At 43.4% G+C, this 26,182-nt stretch overlaps 2 long non-coding RNA genes across 2 annotated transcripts in view; one reads left to right on the top strand and one right to left on the bottom strand.

The window, feature by feature from the left end:
- LOC105379031 (uncharacterized) overlaps positions 1-23,636 on the bottom strand; it is a 28,435-nt gene extending 4,799 nt beyond the window's left edge. Inside the window, exon 1 of the long non-coding RNA XR_948470.3 lies at positions 23,392-23,636. This is a non-coding gene — a long non-coding RNA (uncharacterized LOC105379031). The remainder of the gene's footprint in view (positions 1-23,391) is intronic.
- Positions 1-26,182, top strand: part of LOC124901002 (uncharacterized) — a 76,128-nt gene that overhangs the window by 37,357 nt on the left and 12,589 nt on the right. The gene's annotated exons all lie outside the window — the stretch shown is intronic.

The following is a 26,182-nucleotide window of genomic DNA, read 5'->3' on the forward strand; positions in this document are numbered from 1 at the left end:
TTTCCTTATGTTTTATGGTTTATAAATGCCCAACTCGCAATTTGTCATTTTCTGTTAGCATTTTCCATGTGTCTCTTTCACCTGCAATCTTGTGGGCCAATCAGTACGTTCTGCCCAGATCAGGGTTCAACGTCCTCAACATGCCACTGCCAAGTCATGGGCCCAAGTCTTGAATGTCACACTCCAGCAGGGCAGTCTCCTCCTCTGCTTTAGACAAGTGATGCCTGAAATAGAGTTTTATTTATTCGATACATATTTACTGGCTGCCTGCTATGGCTAGATACTGTGCAAGGTGCCAGGGATACGGCAATGAGCTAATGGCATATCTCTTACTTGCATGGACTTATATTGGTGGGAAGGGAGTACACTCACAAATGGACACTATGAAAAGTATAAGCAGGACAGTTTGTGATGGTAGGGGTCAATGAGAATCCTACTTAGATGGGTTGGTCAAGAAAGGCCTCTCGAGGATGAGAAAGAGCCAATCATGAACAAATTTAAAAATAGAAGAAATGACATGCACAAAGACCCTTTCACAGGAAGGAGCTTGGAGACACCAAGAGATTGAGAGAAGTGAGAGAAGGCAGAGTGGTTGGCACATGTGGTCTCTCCGATACACACCCCTTTGGTGCCTGCGGTCCCATACAATTTTCCTCTTTGCCTGAGGTATTAGTCTTATCTGGATATTTGTCCCCATGTCTGTTGGTTGGACCTGCATGATCTCTCTCCTGTTCCACCTCTCCTCTCCTGTCCTGCGGCTGCTGGTCTGCTCAGGCTTCCTACTCACTCACCTGGTCTATTGCAACTGCCTTCTAACTATGTGGGCAGTGACTTTGTCCTGTTCGCTCTTGCAGCTCAGCATCAACTGTCTGTCATTAGTAGGTGCCTAAAAAGTATTTGCTGAATGAATGAATGAATGAAATGTCTGGTCCAGTCTTCACCCCTGTGTCCCGCATCTCCATTCTGCATCCCTGTCTTGCATGCTACTGTCAGGATTATTGCTCTAAGTTAGAGATCCAATTGTCTCACTTACCAACCTTCTGGTGGTTGGCCCCCATTGTCACATGACTAAAACCCTCCATATTGCCTTCATAGGTCTTCAGAATTTGATCCCAATCTGCCTTTAAGGCTCATTTCGCAAACACTAAACACAGCCACTCTGAAATACTGTCTGTTGGTGACACCATGAACTCCCTCTGCTTGCAGTTTGTTCCCCCTACAGGGTTTGTCCACCTGCCATTCTTCAAGCTTCAGCTCAAAAGTCACCTGCCTTTCATGTCCCTAGTTCCACTTTTTCCCACTGGAGACAACTCACCATCTCTACTAAGCTCAGAACAGTTTGTTCCTATTGCTCCTACAGCCTGGATTAGACATGAGTTTGCATTGGTCTTTCTCTCCCGAGAGATGGCAAACTCTCTCAGGGCCCAGGAGCTGCATCTTACTCATCTTCGTGACCCCAGTTCTTAACACAGAGGCATGTGTGAAATTAATAATGACAGCAAAAAATCTACCGAGTGCTCGCAACATGCCAGCCTATTTTACACAATTAGCTCTCTAATCCTCAAAATAATCTTAGGAGGCAGGTCATATTGTGGTTCCTATTTTAGAACTGAGGAAACTGAGGCTTAGAAAAGTTAGAGAAATTGCCTGGAGTTGCACAGGTAGCAAGCAATAGCAGAGCCGGATTTAAACACAGATAGTCTGACTGCAAAGCCCACAAGGGGAACATGACAAAGTGCTGTATGCCACAGTGGCCCCTGACTGCTTCTTAGAATCACCTGAGGAACTCTGAAAACTCATCCATGTCCCAGCTCCATCCCACAACAACAACAACTGAACTACTGGACTATGAAAGCACTAAACTGGGGCATAGACAAGTTTGAACCCTGACCATAAGTATGACCTGGAGCATTTGTTAAAGGTGTAGATCACCACACCTCTCTTCCAGATAATGCTGTTTCAGCGGATTATGGTTGAAGCTTGGCAACTTGTGGTTGACAAGGTACCCCAGGTAATTCATATCTTAAGGGAAGTTAGGGAAATAAAGCTAGAGAGTAGGTTGCAAAGTCATTTAAGTAGGTCTCTAAACATTCATCTGTCTATGATGGTAGAAAGACCCTGTGGAGGATGTTTGACTGTTTCATCATGGGGCTGAGCTGAAGAAGATGAGTAACACAGTAAATTGGCATGGCTCTTTGGGAACACTAAGCTGAAATAGCTAATAGCACTGCACAAGTATACATCTTCAAAACCGTCCACTGATAGTGCTGCAACCAAAAAACAGTATTTTGATGGTACTTCTTTGCCTTGAGCATTCTATATACTTTAGCCAAAAACTGAAAGAGAGGCCTCGTGATCCTTTAAGAAGTGTGGAGGGGGATAACACAGCCCCAGGGAAGTACAGGCTGAGGCCTTTTCCACCTACTTTCCTGGGGCCTCCTGAACTCCACCTGCCAACACACATACACGTGAACACATGTACATACCTACACCTACCCACACACACAGGTGGCAAAGCAGATCACTTCCTTGATTTCCTTAAGTATAGACTTAGTAAGCACCAGGTGGGATACAGCCACATTGCCTGTCCTTGCCTCCCATGGCTGACTCTGTTTTCCCTTTCTGATATTTTTTGGCTCTGTGTCCCCACCCAAATTTCATCTTAAATTGTACTCCTATAATTCCCACATATTGTGGGAGGTACCCAGTGGGAGATAATTTGAATCAAGGGGGCGGTTTCCCCCATACTGTTCTCATGGTAGTGAATAAGTCTCAGGAGATCTGATGGGTTTATCAGGGGTTTCCGCTTTTGCATCTTCCTCATTTTTTCTTGCTGCTGCCATGTAAGAAGTGCCTTTCACCTCCCGCCGTGATTCTGAGGCCTTCCCAGACATGTGGAACTGTAAGTCCAGTTAAACCTCTTTTTCTTCCCAGTCTCAGGTATGTCTTTATCAGCAGGGTGAAAATGTACTAATACACTTTCCATGGTCTCCTGCCTTATCACTGGCTGTCTGAAGTCCTGACCAGCTTGTTTCTAAGCTATTTCATGATCATCATTTTGATCCACTCCATTTTCTGCCTTCTGACTGTTGTGTTTACTGACCTTTACCAAGGTTGAAAAGAAAACGCCTGATCTTTTACATGCAATGCATAGAACTGGACTCCTGAATCCAAGAAAAATATCTTCCTTGCTGCTCTCTTCTCTTTCCTCCATTCTCACCCCAAGAGAAGCCCTGAATCTATTTATGAATAACATTCAGGTTCTACAACTTGCCCTGCCAGAATAATCTTCCTAATGGGAAATACAATGGGGCCTCCCACTGACAAAGAAGACCACCCCATCTGCAGCTAGGGACAAGAGACACTCCCAGCCCAGATGTAAAGAAATGCAGCAGATCGTGGCTTTGTGTCTATTCATTGCTTATTTAATATTTGAGCATCTTTTTCTAAAGATATTTCTATTGAACTCACTTGTGGTGTCACCATCTGGAAAATATCAAGCCTCACCCCACTGAGGCAAACCCCTATTGCGTATTTTTTCCCTTTTATGTGAGCCCAGTGGGCATGGAATGTGTATCTCTATGTTTAGCACAGTTCCTTGCCAAGGCAGCTCTCAAGCACATGACACTCTCTGAATAAATCAGTGTTGTGTAGACCCATTAGCAAGACCTTCCCAATTGATGCTAACAGAACGTTTCAATGAGGCTCTCAGGAGCCTCCATGACTTCTTGATGTGAGGTCCTTTTACATTTTAAAGTGACAGATTAGAGTTTTAAGAGAGAGTAAGCTGCTAAGAACTCAATGATTTCATTAAAACCAGTTTTTAAATTGGGCCAAATCTTATCCCAGGGTCTAAAATCAGACTTCTGTCTAAGCCCACAAATAAAGGGTTTAGTCAGCTCTCAAGGACGCAGGCCAACAGGGCAAGCAGTGTGCCACAGACAGTTCAACTAACGGAAATCTAAATCCAGCCATGTTAGGCAAGAGGGTTGATTAAGATGAAAATTTGTATTCAGGTGGAGAGAATGCTCAGATTTTGTTCAATGTGTTTATTATCCTTGTGTTTTGAAAGGTGTTAATAAAATTAATTTCCATTCTCTCGGTGTTCATAAATGGCTGGTGCAGAGAAGTATCTAGGATGTGGTCTAATTGGCAGAAGGAAGATGAGTCTTCATTGCAGATAAGGCAAAAGTGAATAATATTTAACCATCCAAAAAATTTTACAACTTTGTGCCAGGGCATATGGTTACTAGAGAGAATACAGCACCCCGACCTTCCTCACAGGAACATACTACCCAGCATGTTGAGTTAGCCTCAGGTAGAGATGATATAGGGCAACTTACTATGTCTTATAATAATGTGTTTCTGACTATTGTTTTAAAATTACCCATACATTTGGTGATAAAACTCATTTCCCCACTATGCTTAATAAGGACTACATAGAGGCACTGAAAAAAGTGATTCTAGGTAAAAACGACAAAAGTGAGATTGAGTTAGGAAGGAGGAAAGGAGATGAACCCGCTCCCCTTTTGACCTGAATTATCACAGAGAGGCGATTGTGAAGCTGTTATGGAGTGGCTTACTCTCACAAGAATGATCCTCCTGCAGGCATTCTCTTCCCTCTCTACCAGCACAGCCTTAAATTTCAAAGGCAAAGCCTCATGTGAGTATAATAGACAGGTTTGCCTACTCAGATCCCCCAGCAGGACAGGGGTCAGTGCACAAAGTTGTTAGTAGCGCCTTTACACGTCCATTCTCGTCGTCCCACACCTCCCCACAGACCTCACCGTGGTGCATTTCCAGCTCCCTTTGAGAGCCCCTTCTGTGTTATCACATCCTCATTATTCCTGCCATTTGCAGTGGCATGTTGCTCTTTTTCAGGCCATTTGGCAGTTCATCTGGTATGGAACCTGGCAACAATTTACCATACAGCAGGAGATGATATCAAAAACCATTCTGTTGACATAGGACTGAGACAATGTTAAAATCCAGATATGATATTAAGTCATCTGTTCATCATATATAAATTGAGGGGATGAATTCTGCTGGTTTGCTTGCTGTCCCTAAGATAATTAGATATGTCAATTTTAAAAAGTATTGTCCAGCCTGGGCAACACGGTGAAACCCCATCTCTACAAAAAATACAAAAATTAGCCAAGTGTGGTGGTGGCACCTGTAGTTCCAGCTACTGGGGAGTGGGAAGGGTAGGAGCTGAGGTGGGAAGATTGCTTGAGCCCGGGTGGTTGAGGCTGCAGTGAACCAGGATCATGCCACTGCACTCCAGCCTGGGTGACAAAGCAAGACCCTGTCTCAGAAAGTAAAATAAAATAAAATAAAATAAAATAAAATAAAATAAAATAAAATAAAATAAAATAAAATAAAATAAAATAAAAAGTATTGTCCTAGCACAGATTTTGGACATTCCAGAATATTGAAGTAAAATAACATTTCTCAAAAGGGAAGTGACCCAAGTGAGGATATCATATGCATTTCCTCTTTTCTTTAGCAAAAAGAGCTTTTGTGGGGAAAACAGCAGGTGAAATGAGATTTTTCGCCAGGAGACCTTTAGGAGTAACACACTCTGTTCATAAGCACACACTAAACAAGTACTTCAGGGTTTGTATGTGCTAAGGAAGGTGTTGGGTGCCTGAACAGAGAGAGGTCTGAGCCATGCTTGCTCCTTCTCAAGGATCTGGAAGAACAGTGTAGGTGACTGACAAGCCAGCAAGTCATGACCTCACAGTGTAGACAGTGCTGGAACAGAGGTGTGTGCAAGTACACTGGAGGGCCTGAGGAGGAGTGACTAAGGCTGCCTCACAGGAAGCAGGGAATAATGAAAGATGAGGCATTTAACCTTGTGTCCTGCAACGCTGTTATACTGGCTTATTCCAGAAGTTTTATATTGATTCTATGGAATTTTCTATGTACATAATCATGTCATATGGAAAGACAGTTTTATTTTTTCTTTTCCAATCTGTATACTTATAATTTCTTTTTCTTGTCTTACTGCATTAGCTAGGACTTCTAGTAAAATGTTGAAAAGAGTAATGAGCGGGAACATCCTTGCCTTGTTCCTGATCTTAGGGGGAAAGTTTCTAGTTCCTAACCATTATACATGATGTTAGCCATAGGCTTTTTTTGTAAATGTTCTTTTTCAAGTTGAGGGAGTTACCCTCTATTCCTAGTTTGCTGAGTTTTTATCATGAATAGGCATTGGATTTTGTCAGATGCTTTTTATGCATCTATTAATACAATGTGATATTTTCTCTTTAGCCTCTTGACGTGGTTGTATACATCAATTGATTTTTGTATATCGAATAAGCCTTGTTTACTTAGATTAAATCTCACTTGATCATGATGTATAATCCTTTTCATATATTGTTGGATTTGGATTGCTAATCTTTTGTTGAGAAATTTTACGTCTATGGTCATAAAGATATTCATCTGTTGTTTTCCTTTCTTGTAGTGTCTTTGTCTGATTTTGGTATTAAGATAAGGTGGGCCTCATAGAATTAGTTAGAATGTATTCCCTCTGCTTCTGTCTTCTGGAAGAGATTGTGGAGAACTGATATCATTTCTTTCTTAACTATTTGGTAGGATTCACTGGTGAAACCATCTGGGGCTGGTGCTTTTTTTTGGAATATTATTAATTATTGATTCAATGTCTCTAATAAATTTGGGCCTATTCAGATTATCTATTTCTCCCTATGTGGGCTTTGGTAGTTTGCATCTTTCAAGAATTGATCGATTTCATTTAAGTTACCAAATGTATGGGCCTGGAGTTGTTGCAGTATTCCTTGGTTATCCTCTAAATGCCCACAAGATCAGCATGAGATTAGTAGTAATCACTCCTTTTTTTTTTTTTTTTGGGGGGATGGAGTCTCACTCTGTCGCCCAGGCTAGAGTGCAGTGGCGGATCTTGGTTCGCTGCATCTCCTGGATTCAAGAGATTTTCCTGCCTCAGCCTCCCGAGTATTTGGGACTACAGGCACATGCCACCATCCCAGGCTAATTTTTTGTATTTTTAGTAGAGACGGGGTTTCACCTTGTTAGCCAGGATGGTCTCGATCTCCTGATCTTGTGATCCACCCACCTTGGCCTCCCAAAGTGCTGGAATTACAGGCGTGAACCACCATGCCTGGTCTAATCACTCCTTTTTTATTTCTGATTTCAGTAATTTGTGTCCTCTCTCTTTTTTCCTTGGCTAACCTGCTTTTCTGTTTTAGATTTCACTGATACTACTCTAAGTTTTATTATTTATTTTCTTCTTGCCTTTGGCCTAAATTGCTTTTGTTTCTCTAGTTTCCTAAAGGATGACACTTCAAGACACTTAAGCTCAGTATCTTAGTCTGATACCTTTGAGAAGCTGACACCAATGTGGAATTAAACATCTTTATTAGGGAAATTACGTGTGAGAGAAACCTCAGACCTTCAGACCACTTTGCAAGTCTGCTCCTGAGTAAAGAAGAGAGGAAAGGAAGGTTGGCCTTAGTAGAAGGAAGGTTTAGCAAGGGTTTCAAGGAGTATTCAAGCCAGAGTTGACTGTTAGAAAGTTCTGTGTCTCCTAGGGAAAGTCCTGCCTTCATATTCTGCCAGGCTCTGTTAATAGCTGAGAGCATCCCTTGGGAAGCATGGCCTTAGCCCAGATACAGCAATGGATTTCAGAGCATACCAGTTGGGGCTCTTGGTCAGTTATATACCCTCAGCAGGAGGGTACCTCTGAGACGTACATTTTCACGGCTAACATGCCAGGTCTTGAAAAAGGGAAAGAAGGAGTCAGAGGCCCCTAGAGCCATGAGAGAATTCAGCATGTTTGAAATAAGTAAATCTGTGGGTGGGAGATTGGACTGTGATAGGAGGGACAAGGGATTAGTGTGATGTGGGCCTTTGAGGAGAGCCAGGGCTGGGACCTGGTGAAGGGCCTTGTAGGCCATGGTGAAAATTTTGGATTTTAACATGAAGGAAATGAAGAGCTATTGAAGGCTGTTTCAGCAAGGACGTGACAGCACTGGATTGGATCATGTGTAGGGAGAGGATTCTGACAGCGGTGTGGAAGACTGAGTAGGGGACAGAGGGTGGAGGTGGGGAAGACTGGAGAGGAGAGATGCTGAGGGCCTGAACCAAATAAGTGGCAATGCAGGGGGACCAGACCTGGGAGTTCTTTAGGAGGCAGGAGTGACATGACTCAGGTGTGGGATAGAAAGGTGTAAAATGAATCCCAGACATTTGACTTAGGAGACCTAGGAGAAGGAGAGATTCACTGAGGAAGAGAATTACAAGAGGGGCAGCAGGTATGGAGGAGCAATCAAGAGTTTGGTCAGTTTGGGACACGTGGTTTCTGAGGTTCCTCTGTGCAGCAGGCATTTGTATACATGGTCTGGGACTCAGGTCATTGCCTGGACTAAGCATAGAGGCCTGAGAACCATAGGTATTTAGGTACACTTTAAAGCCATGAGTTTGACTGAGACTACTCAATTACAGGATGTAGCTTTAGAAGAAAAGGTGGCCAAATACTGAACTCCAAGGAACCCAAGAGTGCAGATGGGTGGAAGAAGAGGAGTCGGTTGAGGAGACTGAGGAATGGTTAAGTCAGTGGGAGAACTGAAAGGGTGGTGTTCTAAAAGCCAAGGGAGAAAAGAACTCTGAGGGGATGTCATCAATAGTGTCAAATCCCACTATAGGGAAGCCAGTAAGCTGAGGGTGGGGAAGGGTCTGCCAACTCTCCACTGTAGTATATTATAGGTTTAATTGTGGCCCCCCACCCCCCGCAAATATATATTGTCTTCTTTTTTTTGAGGCAAGGTCTTGCTCTGTCACCCGTATGGAAGTATAGCGGCACAATCACAGCTCATTGCAGCCTTGACCTCTTGGGCTCAAGTGATTCTCCTGCTTCATTTTTTGATTTTTTTTTGTAGAGATGAGGTCTCACTATGTTGCCTAGGCTGGTCTTGAACTCCCAGGTTCAAGCGATCCTCCTGCCATGACCTCCCAAAGTGCTGGGATTACAGGCCCAAAAAGATACATTGTAGTCCTAATCCCTGGAACCTCAGAGAGTGTCCTTACTTGAAAATAGGGTCATTGCAGATGTAATTAAATTAAGATGTACATTAAGACAAGGTCATTCTGGAGTAGGGTGGGGCCTTAATCCAATGCAACTGTTGTCCTTACAAGAAGAGAAGAGTTGGATACAGAGGAAGAATCTCATGTGCAGATGAAGGCAGATATTGAGGTTATGCAGATGCAAGCCAAGGAGAACAAACGATCACTGGCAAACACTGAGGCTAAGAGGAAGGCATGGAACAGATTCTTTTCTAGATTCCTCAGAGACAGCATGACCCTGCTGTTGCCTTAATTTCAGACTAGCCTTCCAAACTGTGAGAGAATCAACATCTGTTAGTTGAAGCCACCCCAGGTTGTGGTGCTTTGTTACAGCAGCCCTAGGAAACTAACACGCAGTAAAGGTGAGGAACCGTCATTTTGTTGCAAAGACAGACAGGTGAGTCCTTTAAGACTGAAGGGAAAGTAAATGTAGGTGTAGGGCTAATAAGTTTGCAGATGGGGAGTGATGGAGTGGGAGCTGGATAGTTCCAGCCTGTTGGCATCTTTTCTCTATGAAGTTGAGGGGTGTGGATCATCTACACCCACAACTTCATAGAGTGAAGGGGTGGAAGGTAATCACACTATAATTGCCACCTGTATTATCTATTACTGTATGACAAATTACCCCAAAACTTAGCTTAAAACAACAAACATTTATTGTCTCACGCAGTCTCTTTCTAAGAGTCAGGGATCTGGGAGTGGCTACAGTGGGTGGTTCTGGCTCAGAATCTCTCATGAGGTTGCAGTCACGATATCAGCCAAGGCTCCAAACATCTGAAGCTTTGATGGGACTAAAGGATTGGCTTCCACTATGGCTCATCCACATGGAACTCTCCAGGAGGTTGCTTGGGTATCCGCACCACATGGCAGCCAGTTTCCTCATAGCAAGCAATCCGAGATAGAGACCAAGGCATACACCACAACATCTTTTATTACCTAACCTTGGCAGTCATATACATCACTTCAGTATTCTATTGATCATACAGACCAACTTTGATTCAATGTAGTGGGGACTACATGAGGGCATGAATACCAGGAGGCAGGGATCCTTAGGAGCCATCTTGGTGGCTGCCCATCATAGGCTATGGACCCGCCTATATGCTGAGGCCCCCCAAACCTTGGTTGCAGTCCTGACATCTCTCTCTGAGCATCAGACACTTAGAGTTAAGGTCTCTTCCGGTCGTTCCCTCTTGGATATCCCAAGAGCACCTCAAAGGCAACATGTTTAAAACTGAATTCTTTATTCTATTCCCAAGCCAGATTCTTTCTTTAATGTTGTCTTAGTAAGAAGCCCAGCAATGGCTCAAACACTCAAACTAGATCTTGGGATTATCTATGACCACTCTCCTTCACCAACTCTCCCATCCAAACCACCACAAGTTCTGTCAATTTTACTTTCTAAATATTTCTGGAATCTGTTGCCTCTTGTCTATACTTACTTTCACAGCCCTAGTTAAGAAATGTACGATCTGTCATTTGAATCATTGCAACAGCCTCTAGACTATTGGACCAATATACAGCTGTCAAGAACTACCAAGACTCTGAGATTTTACCTGACTTGCAAGCCTGGATGCTATCAGCTTTGCAGATGCTGACAGAGGACATAAAACTCCTGGGTCAGAGATAAAGGACTTTGTAATTCCCAGCATAGTATGAGGCACGAATTTCATGTTTATCTCAGTTTCCCTTGATCCCTAAATCCCACAGGGGCAACCATAGCCTCATCGAGTGACCCAGGTGGATGCTACAAGCACCATGAAGTTCTATCTCAGTTGGGAAATGCCCAGGTCAGAGAATGTGAGTCCTTTTTCTTGCGCTGCAAGCAAACTTCCTCCTCTTTGCTCCAAAGGGAGTCACTCTCTTTAACTTCCAAGGACGTTTGCTATACAAACATCTTTGAAAACAATCTAGAACAAAATGACAGCACCTCACTCACAACACGTGCAGAAATGTGAAACACCCAGAGAGAATTGTTTCCCAGCAACAGCCAAAATCTAAATCAGGGCATTTAGTGGCTCCTCACACTTACTGAATAAAGACCCTCACACTAATACCACTGCCTCTATCAGCCTCATTGCTCCTCTCCCTGCTTCACAATGTGAATTTGAAATAACCTGCAGCCCCTCAGTCTGTGTTCATTCTTGCCCACAGGTCTTTGTTTGAGTCATCTTCTTTGACTAAATTTCCTTCTTCCTTCCATAGAAGTCATTCATTTCATGCCTGGGAAGTTACCTTTTGAGGCTCCCATGCATTCTGAGGGTTGCTGGGTTTAGTGCGTATCTACGAGGATGTGGGACTGGCAATTATCACTCGTTATTGGACTAACATTTACCATCTGCAACTGTTTTCTTCTTTCTCTAAATGGAACCACCCTCTATTTGGTGAAGGCACAGCACGTTCTAGTGAAATGAGTCTCCATGATTTTCTTAGCAATTTCTACGGCAGGGTTGGGTAAATACCTGCTTTCTATTCTCACTCTTGGTTTTAGTTTGCCCCCTGTTGCACTGTCTCCCCAGCAGGCATGGAGCAGCTCCATTTGGGGCAGGCCTTGCTCTGAGCCTGGTTGTTTTCACTGTACCAAAGTCAAAGTCAAAGGTGTATTTTCACTTACAAAATAGCCATGCATACCATAGCTTTCTAAATCTCCAACTGGAGGCCTATTGCATGCCTGAAAGGAGTAGAATACAGTTTAGAAGAGTGGCCCAGGGCCTACTTATGCAATACCACAATTTCCACTTCTCTTCCCAAATAGACCTCATTAGAATGTGTCACAAGAATAGTATTGCCTTGGATACAACAGCTTTCAGAAAGGCTGTGAGAAAACCATTGATTCATTCCAGAAATGAACTCTGGTGGCCATTTGACCATATTTTGAGAGGCATCAGTTTTGAAAGGACTCTAAGGAATGGTGCCCAAGCAACATTGACTTCATCCAACTCCTTCTCTTGTATTGTCCTTCTTTTTGTTTTTGTTTCTCTGTGAAATGAAAGTAATAGCATGAGCCACCCTCCTGGCTCTAAGTAATGAGAACAAATTAAGAGCCATAACATTAGGCCTGCAATACACTGGTGGAACTGAGTGGAAAATGCTGTTTGAGACCATGCCAGAATTTTCCCACTTTCCATTTTCTTTTTGTTTGTGTGTCATCTTTTGGGATATTAGCCCAGCTGATGATGACACTTCTTACTGAGGCCTCTGATGAGAACTATGAGGCTGGGCTCCTGGTAACCATGGGTTTATGAAACAGAATTCTGGCCCTTACCTCCCACCCCATAGGGATCTTCTTCATTCCTTTGTGTATCCCAAGCATGTAACAGTGCCTGGAATATACTAGGTGTGCAAGAAATACTTATTAAATTGATGATATCAAGGATTGAGACTAACAGTTTTCTCCTGTGCTTGAGGCTGGAACTCTCACATGTGGACTCTGGAGGTGTGGGCAGCTTCATCCCATCATGGAGCCTGGGGAGCAGGGGAAGCCAGTCTTTGGACACCAAGGAGTCTTGGAGGGAGGGATCTGCAGAGGGAGAGCTTGGGCTGGCTCCCACTGATTCTCTACTTTCTGCTTCCAGGATTTTTCCCAGGCCAAGCTGCAAACTTCTTTATCTTTGAATAAGTTCCTTTCTCTGTGCTTAAACTAGCTTCAGGGGCTTAGTCCAAGGCAACACAGAAAATTTGGGAGTTGACATGGTAGAAGTCTAGGTGTGACTAATAGGAAGGGCCACATACTGCCAGTGGAGCTAAGACAGGTTGTGACCTATGAGAAATCCTCAGTGAACTGGCTACGACCCACCCCTTTCTCTCCCACTCATCTGAACTCACAGGTGTGTTCTGACAGTGATATATGGTCACTGGCTTAACACAGAGGGGGGCATGAGATCTTTAAACCATAAAACTGCAGTTCCACAGAAATGTTTGATAATGTTACACAGGAAATATCATGGAGCCCATGGTAGAGCACTAAAACCATGGTCTGAAATGGGAATTTTTTTTCTCCCATCACAAAATAGCGGCAAGTAAACACCCTTTCTCACCGCCATAGCCTTATGGAGACATGTAAGACAGATTACCACATGTTTGGAGCAGAAAATCAGACAAGAAGCTGCAATACCACACACACAGATTGCGGTCCTGCTAATCAGTCATTGGTGGCAGGTCCCTCTGCAAGGTATACTGGAAGTGGGGCAGGGGGACATTCTAGGTTCAATGTTATTAAGAATTAACTTCCAGAGATACAGCTGATGAGTTAAGTTTTTACATTTCAACTCTGAGCATTTTCAAGACTACTCATAATTTTCTGCAGTTAATATTAAATATGCCATTAAAAGGAAGCACATTCTGATGTGTGGAACAGAAAGAATTCATATGACAAAAGAAAATTCCAGACTGAACCAGGACGAAGACATTTCCCGTAGCGACGCCCAGCCTAGTATTTCACCAGTACTAATGAGAAGCTGTAACAGCCAGCTGGTTTTGCTAAGTTAGGCTGCAGTATCAGACAACCCTACAGTCTCAGGAACTTACAGCAGCAAAGGTTTATTTCTCACCCCAGACTGCTGTAGCTCAACTCCCAACTGCCCCAAGTCTCCCCACTTGGATCAAGACTAAAGGAGCAGTTCCTATCTGGAACGCACTGTTCTCATGGCAGAGGGAGGAGAGAGGGCAGAACCACAGCATGGCCCTTAAAGCTTCTGATCACAGCAGCAGCCCCACTTCCCACTCACATTTCATCGGACAAAACAAGTCACTGGGCTGACCCACCTTCAATGGGCAGGAAGTTCAATCTCCTAGGACAGACTACTAGGGTTGGGGCCAAGCCAGGAGGGGCAGGAATATTTGGACATAATATAATACAGCAGGGATTAGGCTGTATTTCCAGAACCACATCATCTATTAACAGCAGTCTGATGTATATAATTATGCTTACATTAATTGTATAGTGAACAGTTTAGAGTCAAAACGTGAGGTCAGTCATTTCTAATTATTCTTTTTGTGGCTCTCAAAAATTTGGGTATTGGAGATGCCCTCAGGTATTAATATAAACCACAGGATGGACTGGATGAACCCTATCTGGCAGTGGCAGGCAGGATTCTGAAAGTAGGTAAATGATTTCAATGGTATCCCTGGGCAAGGGTGGGGGGGGAGCGTGTTTCTCAAGTTGTAGTCCACATTCTGTCTGTAGCAGAATGACCTGAAAGTCAGATTTAATGTGCAGATTTCTAGGATCCACTCTAGTTATACCGAATCTGAGTTTCTAGGGGGTGGGGACTGGGAATCTGCATCTTTTTTAGCTTTCCAGGCAATTCTGATGTAGATTAACTATTGAGAAGTGCCATCTCAGAAAATCCACCCTTACCAGGGTACACTCCTGTCACAAGGTGTGATGCCAGATGCTTATGCCATCTGTCACTGTCTGCAGCTCTGGCTCCCAGGACTGGCCTTAAGCAGGGACCAGAGTGCACTCATATCCGGGTGCTGCGGGTCCAGCCGGGATTTGGAATTTCCTGGGAAGTCAGGGAGAAGGCATTGCTTTCTTTTTATGGAATGGTTTATAATGAGGGCCTCTATCCCTCCTTCAAATACATTTCAGTTTATATAGTTCACTATTTTTCTTGTAAATCAACATCTGTGAATCATTTTGTTATTTGTCTATTTTTAGAAATAAAATGTGACTACATTGAACAATGTACTCATAAAAAGTCCTCTTAGAATAGTAACAATTGTTTTAAAACTTATATTTTAACTGCTTTGCCTCAACAATGTACATTTGGAAACAAATCTAGGATGAAAATTTAACTGTAAGTTTCCAAACCTGATTTCTGTGAGATTTGCATTTCATTAAATATTTCAATTATTGATTCCTAAAATGAAAAATGAAATTAAAAAGTCTGTGTTCTGACTGGGCTCTGCCTCTGATTTTCCAGGGCTGCTTTTAAAGAAAAAGAGAGCGGTGTTCCAATGGGAGGATTTCATTTTAGAGTTCTGTTGCAGTGACCTCTGCTGCTGCTGCCTGGGTCATTAAATTCAATACACTTATGCTTCCAGCTAAAAGTTTCCTGGGCTGGTTGTGCCTTAACAGGGCCTGGTCTAGCACCCTGGTGATATAAGCTGCCCAGAAGCTGCCAGCTCATTTCAGGACAGTTCCAGCCTCTTTCGGCGCATGCCCTGAGGAGGACCATGTAACGAGAGGAAGGAATGCTTTCCATGGGGTGATACTGACCTTGCCTTCGTAGCCATTTAAACACCCTCAGCTTGCACATTTTTGTTAGGCTGGTGTATTCTGCTTCTGCATGGGTACTAATGCCATCACTGTATTCTAGGGGCTGGAACAATTAGTACAGACTCTTTCAAGGTCTATTCTGTTGTCTAATCCACACCTCATATATGAATTACCTTCTAAATTGGGTTGTGTTCATGATATTAAGCTCTTAAATGTTATTTTCAAGTTCTTTCTGCCTTTTCGAAGTCATGACTACAGCGGAAGTGAGGAGGAGACAATTCACTACAAAGTTCAGTTGCAAGCAAGGCAGGGAGAGAGGAAGAGAAAGAAGGAAGGAAAGAAAAGGACGAAGGAAGGAAAGAAAAGGACAAAGGAAGGAAGGGAGGGAGGGAGGGAGGGAGGGAGAGAGAGAAATAAAACTCTTTTGCTTTGTCTGCTTTGCCTCTGCTTTGTTTCGTTTTGCTGAGCTGACCCGGCCTAGTCGTGCCTCTCAGCTGAATCCAAACATTCACATTGCTGTCCCTCCAGTACTGGGCTTTCTTTCCTGTGGCTCCTAAATTCTGCAAGTTTAGCGCAGCCAGATACATGTCACAAGATGCAAACCATCATGCTCAGGGAACTTCTGGATCTTCAGGAGGCTGGCATAGAAAGGACAGAGGGCAGCGTGAAGTCTAAACTCAGCCATTATTGTCATGAAATTGTCTTGAGGCTCCCTCACTGAAAGGATGTGTTCCCTTTCATACTGACTGCAAGCAACAGCTCGTTAACGTGGCATCACGGCTAACCATGCGAGTAGCAGAGACCCCGTGCCAACACGGCGTGCTGGTTTATATACCGCTAATGCAGACTTCATTTAGTTTCTTGGGATTAGAATGTTTCAATATTGCCTTATAAAAATATTCCATTCTGGTTCTTGGTCAGAGCGTTAGTTCAGAAAAGCTGCAAGGCTTTAGCTGCCAGTTTCTCTTGCATTCCTGTTATTGTCTGTAATTTCTAAAGACTAGTAAGCAGACATGGCACTTTACAAATACACAAAGACAAGGGCCTGGCCTTCGGTCAGAAAAACACAACCGAAATGAAAATAATCCAAGCAGAAGCAGTAACAGAGTTTTTGGGGAGGGCATCAGCTATGGAAAGCGAAGTTTAAAGTATTTCCGTTTTTGTTTTGAAATGGGAGTGATTGGAAGAGAGAGGAGGTGACCGCGTCCTGAGGTTTGCTCTGCGTTTAATCTTACCAGGCTTGTGGGCTCAGAAGGTCACTCAATTCAAAAGCAAAGTTGTTCAGACTGACCCCTTCTCCCCCACCAAAGAAAGTGCTTTCTATGGCAGACAGCTCCTTCTTTCCAACGGCTCTGTGGCTGACCTCAGCTCCCCAGACAAGTGTAGGCTTAAATAAGATAATTGCTTTCTAAGGCATTATGCCTCCTTGTAGGAAAACTTCTTGGACAGAGAGCACAACACCTCTATTGGAAGGAGACCACACCTGAAGTCACATCCCTAATTGGTTGCTTCATTTGCCTTCATCAGAAAGCTCTACTGACGGCATCAAGCAAATGTCAGGCATTTTACTTCTTAGAAACAAGCCAGCTACCCGGCACTGTGGCATAGTCAGTTAATCCAAGACACATTTTTATAAAAACCTCAAGTTATAACCCACATATGGTGGCAGATCATTATCCTAAGACTCTAAATTGAATCAGTTATACAGTTGGAGGCGGATCTATCATAATCTGGAAAACTTTTCTTTTTACTAGTCTATTTTAACAAGTGTAGGGAGGAAATAAAACTCAAAAAGCATAAACTGTTTTACATTTTGAATTGAACTTTGACAAAAATGGAAAAACTCCAAAATAAAGGCATACTGGCAAAGGAGGAAGGAAAGATGCAGACAGAAATAAAGGAGGAAAATGTGGAAATAAAAAGGTTCTGATACTGCTTTTACATTTCCTGGTTTAAGTGAAAAAGGCAGGATATACAATTGCACAGAGATATGATCCCTAATGAGAGACAGCGAGAGAGACAGGGATAGAAAGACAGACAGAGGTAAAGGACTAAAATGAAATGGATCCAAATAGGTCATTTCTGGGAATTGGGCTTGCACATCACAGTTATTTTCTTTTGGGGCCTTTTTGTATTCTCCAAATTCCCTACAATGAGGATGTTTTTCTTTGACAATAAAAATCAATAAAATATTTTAAAAATGATTTCTCATTCAAAATGCAACTATCTTTACCTCTGAGTCTGAGCACATAAGCTGATAGAGTTCAGGGTGGTTAAAGGTAGAGTTTCTATGTGTATTACTGAACTTCCAGGCCCAAGGGAACAGGAAGTACACACATACAGTCTCACACATTTTGCATAAGCTCATAGATAGGTATAAAGACTTTAGTCTAAACATGTTTTAACAGTTCCAGTGCCCCAGGCTATAGTAACAGATGATAAAATAAAGTGTTCTGACCTATTGCAAATTGTTACCATCACCATCGGTAGACACCATCTGCAAGATCCATTCCAGTTGTGGATGATGCATTGCTTTACACCTTGTGTGTTACACCACGTGAGTTAACACAGTGGAGGCTAGTGTGCTATGGAGGAGGCCAGGCTGACCCTGGCTGTGAGCTTTAACTGTATTGGTTGTTCCAGGAGCCACAATCTCTAGATGATGGGCCATTCCAGGTCCTGGAGCAGCTGGAGCTGGGAGAGCATGCAGAACTTTGCTCTCAGATCTCGTTCTATCTAGATAATGAAGCTGGCTGCAAAGTGCCTTCCCTGCACCTGAAGGTCTGCAGACCTTCCTGTTTTATTTGCATTTGTCTTTTAGATCACTGTGTGGATAAAAGGTACCCCCAAAGGAAGACTCCAGATAGTTATCCTGGCCACTGCCCAGAACTATTCACTCCATCTGTTCCTCTGTTGAAACTCTTGAATTAGAGGTTTATTTAGGTTAACATGATTGTTTCCACAGAAATACAAATGCCTCAATAGGGTTATGAGACATTGGTCTAACTTCCCTTCTGACACCCAGGCAGCCAGGTTGAAATATGGAAATGTTGATGATACAGAAAGGGAGATAGGTGGTAGGTGGGGACCAAAGGGCACAGCTTGAAGATTAAGGCAGCCGGGGAGCACTTTGACCCTAGGGGGCTGAAGAAAGCTGCACACAGAGATGTTTGAAGAGAGAGCAGTCCTCTTTGCCCCTCAGGTCTCGGATCCTCCCTCTCCCCCTCACTCTTAAAGGACACTTTGCCTTCCTTCACACAGAGAAAACCCATAAGAACTTCCTCAGTTTCCTGTTCCCAACTCCACCAACTCTCCAAAACAACCTGCAAGCACCCATCTTTCCACCGTCCTTCCATCTGGGCTGAGTCCTCCTCCCATACTGGATCCCACCTGCTACTGCTCTCTCGGTGACCTTACTTTAGTTCTTTCCTGTTTGCCTCCAATATCTTCAGTTGCTTTATCTTTACTGCCTCCCTCCGTCTGTTCTGCCATCTAAGCAAACAAGCAAAAATGTCCTCTCCCTAAACTCCCGCTCCACTCTGGCATTGCCCCCTCTCTCAGCAAGGGTTTTGGAAGAGTCGTTTGCCTTGTGTGCTCTCCAGGTCCTCACCTTCCACTCTAGCTCCAACCCCCTTCATCTGCCTTCTGCCTGTTTTCCTGCTATGAAACTGCTCTTGCTCAAATCACCAGTGACGTTATGACGAAATGCAATGAAAACTTCCATTCTTGGCTTACGTGACCTCCCCAAAGCCCTGATCCTGGTGACTTCTGCCTACTTCTTGACTTTCTATTTTCTTGGCTTCTTGGGTCCCATCCCCATCCACTCCCACTGTCTTCATACTGATGACTCCCATGTCTGTACTCTCCACCCAGACTTCCCTCCTGAGCTGCACATCCCTGTACCCAACTGTCTACAGGACAATCTACACCTCACAGACACATCAATCAACACCTCCAAAATGGAACCCATCACAGTGTTTCCCTACCCCACCAGCCCAATGCCTCATGTCCTGGGTACTTTGTGCAGGCTGCTTTCCAGCCTGAAAAGCATTCCTTTTCCCCTTGCCCCTCTGACCCCTTCATTGGGCTATTATCTCTTAAGCCTTAGGTTAGATGTTGCTTCTTCTAGGGAGCCTTTCTTGATTCACCAAATATAAGTCAGATGCTTCTGTAATCTCATAAGCTTTTGCTTGTAATTCTTTTTGTTGTTGTTGTTGAGACGGAGTCTCACTCTGTCACCCAGGCTGGAGTGCAGTGACGCCATCTCAGCTCACTGCAACCTCCACCTCCCAGGTTCAAGCAATTCTCGTGCCTCAGCCTCTCAAGTAGCTGGGATTACAGGTGTGTGCCACCACACCTGGCTACTTTTTTATTGTATTTTTAGTAGAGATGGGGTTTCACCATGTTGGACAGACTGGTCTTGAATTCCCGATCTCTGGTGATCTGCCCACCTTGGCCTCCCAAAGTACTAGGATTACAGGCATGAGCTACCGTGCCTGGCCATAATTCTTTCTCTTTTAATTTTTTTTTGTTTCTTGTAATTCTTTATTAAATTGTCTCTTTCCCACTTAAATTATTTGCTCCTTAAGGGGAAGGATCTTTCAGTCTTTCTCATTACATCCTGTGGCCCAGCATAATATGTGGCACATAGGATACTCAATAAAAATGTGCTTATTTGGCCCTGGGCAACATAGTGAGACCTCATCCCTACAAAAAATTAAAAAATTAGCCAAGCATGGTCAGCATGCACCTGTAGTCCCAGCTACTTGGGAGGCTGAGGCAGGATTGCTTGAACCCACGAGTTTGAGGCTGCCGTGAGCTATGACCTCATCACTGCTCTACAGCCTGGGCAAGAGAGTGAGACTCTGTCTCTAAAATAAATTTAAAAAATTGAAGAAATATTTTAAAATGTATTTATCTGAAAAATAAATAAATAAAACAACCTATTTTCAACACTCAGACATCCAGGAAAGGATGGGGGAAGACTGGGAAAGAGGTTTCGTTCCCCTTCCTAGTCTTCCTTCCCACTGCAGATTCCTGTTCATGAGACACTGGCTTCATTCACTCAGGTGAACACCCTTTGCTCCACTATCCAACTTAATCACAGGCTGTGGAGCCTGTGTGTGTCCATCCTGGCACTTTTCTACCACGTTCAATGACTTTTTAAATGAGAAAACGTATTCTTAGTTCTTAACGCCAACTTGAAAATGGGCTTTTGTAATTATTTTTAAGTTGAGGACCATCTCTACCATATGTAAATATGGAGCACTCACTACAAATACATTCTAGGCTGGTTCTTCAAAGTAAAACAATTTTGCCACAGGATCATTCTTTTTTTTGTTTTGTTTTTGTTTTTGTTTTGAGATGGAGTTTCACTCTTGTTGCCCAGGCTGGAGTGCAATGGTGTAATCTCGGCTCACCGCAACCTCTGCCTCCCGGGTTCAAGCAATTCTCCTGCCTCAGCCTCTTGAGCAGCTGGGATTACAGGCATGCGCCACCACGCCCAGCTAATTTTGTATTTTTAGTACAGATGGGGTTTCTCCATGTTGGTCAGGCTGGTCATGAACTCCCGACCTCAGGTGATCCGCCCTCCTCGGCCTCCCAAAGTGCTAGGATTACAGGTGTGAGCCACCGTGCCTGGCCACCACAGGATCATTCTTAAAAGCAATTTGCTTTACGTCTTAGTTGCTATTTTCCTTTTTGGAGTTTAGTTTTGCTAAAGAAAATGTTCAACTCCAATATGGCCATTTCAAAAATGCATTTTTAAAGTTCCAAGTGTTCAATAGCTTTTCCTTTTGCTTTGGCTGGTTATGAAGATTTTATAGGTCCAAATACACATTTGATGCTTTAATTAACACTTGTGGCTAAATTATGGAAGAAAGAAAGTATTTCAACACATTTATAGGAGTGAGTCATATGATTTTCCCAACTGAAGCCACAACACCCTGCCCTGTATGACATCTGTTTGTCTCTTTCAAAAGGTTTAGAACAGAATTTTAACAGCAAATTTGAAAACAACATGGCTACATTTACCACCATGTTGGCAAAGAGACACTACATCAAAAGATGATAGCTGTTTTTGAGATCCTGTCAAGCTGTACATACTTTTTAAACCAATGATGTGGGAAGGGGAATATTCCGGCATCTCTTTTGCCAAAGAAAGGTATTCATTGTGAAAATAAGAGCAGTATAAAGAAAATAGGGTGAGTGGTCTGTGACTAGACAAATTATTGAATCTGTAACCATGGGCAAGATTCGCTCTTGACATCAAATGGACATTCTTCCCACAACAGAACTTTCAAGAACATGCCTCATCCCACTGCTCAGATAACCATGGACTGCTAGCCCCAAGATTGAGGATGCTGTATGAGCATGTTTGGACTCTCTCTCATTTTTCATGCTCATTTTGCTAGGGCTTCCTCTTGACCTGAACTTGCTTTTCATCTTCACGTTGTTCTCTGACAACTATATGGAAGCTGGGTCAGAGATGGGTACCCTGCCCTATTGCTCCATGTTCATGGGACTTCCCTCCTCCATCTGTGGATTCAGATCTGAGATTTCTCTTTAATCCATGCCACCCATCAATTGTGAAAAAGGACACCCTGTCCTGGTTATTCTATTGAGGAGCTTTTCCCCATCTTCTGTAGCCCCCCTGCACCATGACCAAGATATATTAAGTGTCCTATCAATATTTAAGATAGTGCTCAATGTTGTTCAGGGACTAGCAGTATTAGTCTCAGTTGAGAGCTTGTTAGAAATGAAAATTTTCAGGCCTCATGCTAAACCCACTGAATCAGGATTTCTGAGAGTTAAGGTCCAGAAGTCTGTGTTTTAACAAGTTCTCCAGGTGATTCCTATCTAGCATGAGACTTGCTGTCTCAACTTACCACTGTAGGAATGAAGTGGCAGTGATGGGAGAGTATCATGCTCCTTCCAGTTCTATGAAACCAAACACCCTGGCAGCAGGTTACAAGGTTCTCCTGGCCAATAGGCAGCAATTCTGCCTGTGGTCCTAAACAGAACATTTTCTGAAATCAGCAGCAAGGATTAAGAGCTGCTTACCAGCTGAGAGGTCACTCTCGAAAGTCCAAAGTTTGCATTCTCTTCTCCCACTGTACCCACTCTCCCATAAACACTTTGAGGCAGCCAGTCTGATCTCCTCGTTGCTTGCCAATGCTACACCCTCGTCTTTGCCCTGCTCCTTTACGAATTCCTGGATGTGCAGGAATCTAGAACAGAACCACACCCCTTCCAAGGGTTGGCTCTATTTGTTGACAATGAACAAACAGCTATTGAGTGCTTGCTATGTGGAAGGTATCTTGAACTGTCCCCTCCCCATGAAATCTGCTTGCTCACTGCTTCCCGTTTTCATGTGGCATTCCTGTCTCGGTGATTGCCTGACCCACAGCATGTGCCTGGTCCCAGAACCTTCATGATAGCTGAGGCCCCTTTGCAGTCTCTGCTCTAGTGATTTTCAAATATTTTAGTAATATAACCATATTAGAACAGTTATACAGATAATTAGACAAAGCAGTATTTTATTAGTGCTAATACATTTTGAAGTTAAAATGAAGGTAAATTGTAGGCTAGTCACTGAGGTAATAAGGCTATTTTGTTGACCCCCAAAAAGTGAAGTTAGATGGATAAGAGGAGTCAGGTCTGCTTATTTCTGGAATGCTTCGTTGTGCAATACGGAGAAAATCCTTATTCAGATAACTAGTTGCACATGGTAACTGTTTTTTTCTTTCTATTTTTCAAAGATAGCTTTCCTTGCAACCTCAGATACTCTTCTATTAAACAGATGGCAGGACAACTTCATTCCAAGGTTTACCCACAAGTAGGTGTTTACACGGCATTATAATGAACACATTGGCAGTCTTCAGTGGGTTAAAATTTGGCCCATGTCATTTTTGATTATCTCCTATTTTTTTAACATTGTTGAAAAATTTTAAATCAAATTTAATCAAATAATGTCTGTGGAAACTCTAAAAAACCTTTGCAGCCCTTCGGGGATCCACAAAGCCCAGCATCACTTTACCGAGAGACCAAAACAGAGAGGCGAAGTCACTTACTCAGGTCCCATGGCTCTTTGGGGTCAGAGCCGGCTGCATCTCATGTCTCCTGCCTCCTTATGTTTATGTTTCACAGGGACATTCGAGCCCCCCATGTCGATTCCAAGTGCCTTTTGCTCAGGGCTGGATCTTCCAGAGCAGGAGCTCTGTTTATCCTGCTTAAATGAATTATGGAATGGAATTTCCCCAGAGCCATCTCCCGTCCTCAGTGGGAGGGTGCCAGGCCGGGAGAGCAGGGCAAGAATGAAGATCCTGCTAAGCGACTCTGCCTCTTCCTGGTGTCTCACCACCGCCTGGCACACCCCATCCTCTGAAAATAATACTGCCTTCCTTTCAGCAGCCAGGGCTTGGCGGGCTTACAGAGCTCTCCTCGGATTCTCTTTCATCAGGCCTATTCCCAGAAAGCACTTGCTCATTTAGATGAACAGCTTCTGGCATGTGCTCACATTTAGCTAACAAAGATATCATTCTAGCAATGTGGAGGGCAGGGAGATGGGGGCAGAGAGATGGCGGGGGCTTGGCAGAAAAGCAAATCTATCGTGGCATCTGCAGATGGCCTCAGCTATCGTGGGCTGCAGCTCACAGACCCTTTCCCCTAGTAGCATGCTGTTTCGAGACCAGCCCCCTAGGGAGAAAACTTTAACAGGATGAGGGCAGAGGAGCCTTGGAGAAAATGGAACAGCTGTAGCTGGGTTACTGCTTGATGAAGGAAGGTTGGGAAACGTTTTCTCTACTTCAGCAGTTTGGCTTCTCTTTCTACCTCAGAGAACTGGCGGCAGCTCTTCCCTGAAGAAGTTGCTGCGGCCTGGTGATGGGGAATCTCCCTGTGTTTGCTCAGAGCTGAAATTCCACCCACTTCCAACCAACTTTGGAGACCGAACAGGTTTCAGGCGCATCTGTCATCAGGAAAGAGAAATTCAGGCCCCAGATGGCTCACCCAGTGAGGTCCCTCAGGTCTCCTAGCAACTTGCTGAGCTTGGATCTTTCCAACTATTTTTGCAAGGTGAAATTTACTTTTAAAATATAAGGGGCCTGTCATTAAAACTGAAAGGACTGGAATACAGAGGTTTAGCTGACACTGATCCCTCTAACTGACCTACTTTATGAGGAAAACCAGCCTGGGACTGATTGTGATTTATTCTTTACTTCCTGTTAGAATTAAATGGATTGCTTTAATATTTTTGCCTTTTACAAAGAGATGTATTAAATCTCAGAAGCCTGCCTGCCATTATGCTCAGGCCTAATCTTTCTCATATAATCACCCCGTAGAAGATACCACTGGTTGCTTCCCTATGGTCTGTTTCCTTCTTCCCTGTCAGAAGAAATGGTTGGCAATGTGCTCAGGAGAAAATATTCCCATCTCCAGATATTCTGACACATGACAGCAGCCATGCCACCCAGTTGTGGCCAATGATGTGTAAGCAAAGTCTAGGGGGTAGAGTTTCTTATGGAAATGGAAAAAATCAGATAATATGAACATTTTGCACATCCTCCTTTGATCTGTCTTCCTGACTGGAATGTAAACATGATGGTTGGTGGCAGAGCAGCCACCTTGCAACCGCAAGGAGGAAATCTTCAAAGAATGGTGGATCCGCAGCTTAAAGGGGTGTGAGTCCTTGCTGACTACCTTGATCAGTTGTAACAACCCTTTGACTGCCAGCCTCAACATTTCTTCTCAGCTGAGCAAAATAAAATCCATTTGGTTAAGTCTTTTGTATTGGGGTTTCTCTTAAATGCAGCTAAATGTGATCCTAACCAATACCTTTCCAAAACACAAAGTTCACATCACTTTAAGCCAAAGAATGCTCCTGCCCCGGAGGTAAACAGACAAGAATCTCCTTTCTCATTTCACAGCATGAGGAAGTTGAGACAGTGGAAAGTGGAAAGCATAACATACTCACCTCTTGCTGAATTAATTATACCTCTCAGCCCTTGACTTATCAAACTCCTCAGCAGCATTTGGGCAAGTGGCTACTTTCTCCTCCTTGAAACTTCTTCCTTCCTTACTTCTGTGTTACTACTTCTCCATGCTTCTCCCTCATCTTTTTGGCCCATTTTTGAGTCTCTCATGGGTCTCTCTTCTTCTGCCTGCCCCTTAAATGCAGATGTCGCCAGTGTTCTCCCATAGTCCTTTGGGTAGTGATCTTATGTCTACCCACAACATTTACTGTCACTTAGAACTAGACATCAAATGGTATCTATCGACATTGGGAAAAGATGTCTGAAGTGTACTGCTAAGAGAAAAACAGCTCATAAGAAAAGATGTGCTGTTTGATCCCATTAATGCAAAATGGGAGAAAGAAAAAAATATGTATATAAAAAGAAATCTAAAAGGATCTACAAACAAGATGTTAACAGTGGATGGATAATGAAGTTAAGGATTTAAAATCTTTCATTCAAATGTCAGATTAACCTTTTAATCCACAAGGATGGAGAGGAAGTAGAAATTGCTTCAGTGGGTTTTCATGCATTTCCAAATTATTTTCTCATTTTTATTCTTGGTACTTTCTCGTCCTACAGACATTCATTTACTCAAGGAGTTCTTGTATGACTCTTATGTGCCAGGGGCTGTGTGAGACTCTGGAGACACAGCATTGTAAAAGCAAAGTCACTAACCCTAAGAATAAGGTGCTTTCATTTGAAATAACTGGGTATAGGTGGTTTCATTTTTAAATTGACAGAGAGAGGGTGTAATTTAAATGCTCACATTTAAGAGATTTTCCAGGTAGAACAACAATAGGTGTCATGCAGCAGCTCCGCTGTCATCTTTCCTGGCTGAGCACCAGACAGC

Source organism: Homo sapiens, chromosome 5 (assembly GCF_000001405.40).
Source record: "Homo sapiens chromosome 5, GRCh38.p14 Primary Assembly".
Lineage (NCBI taxonomy): Eukaryota > Metazoa > Chordata > Mammalia > Primates > Hominidae > Homo > Homo sapiens.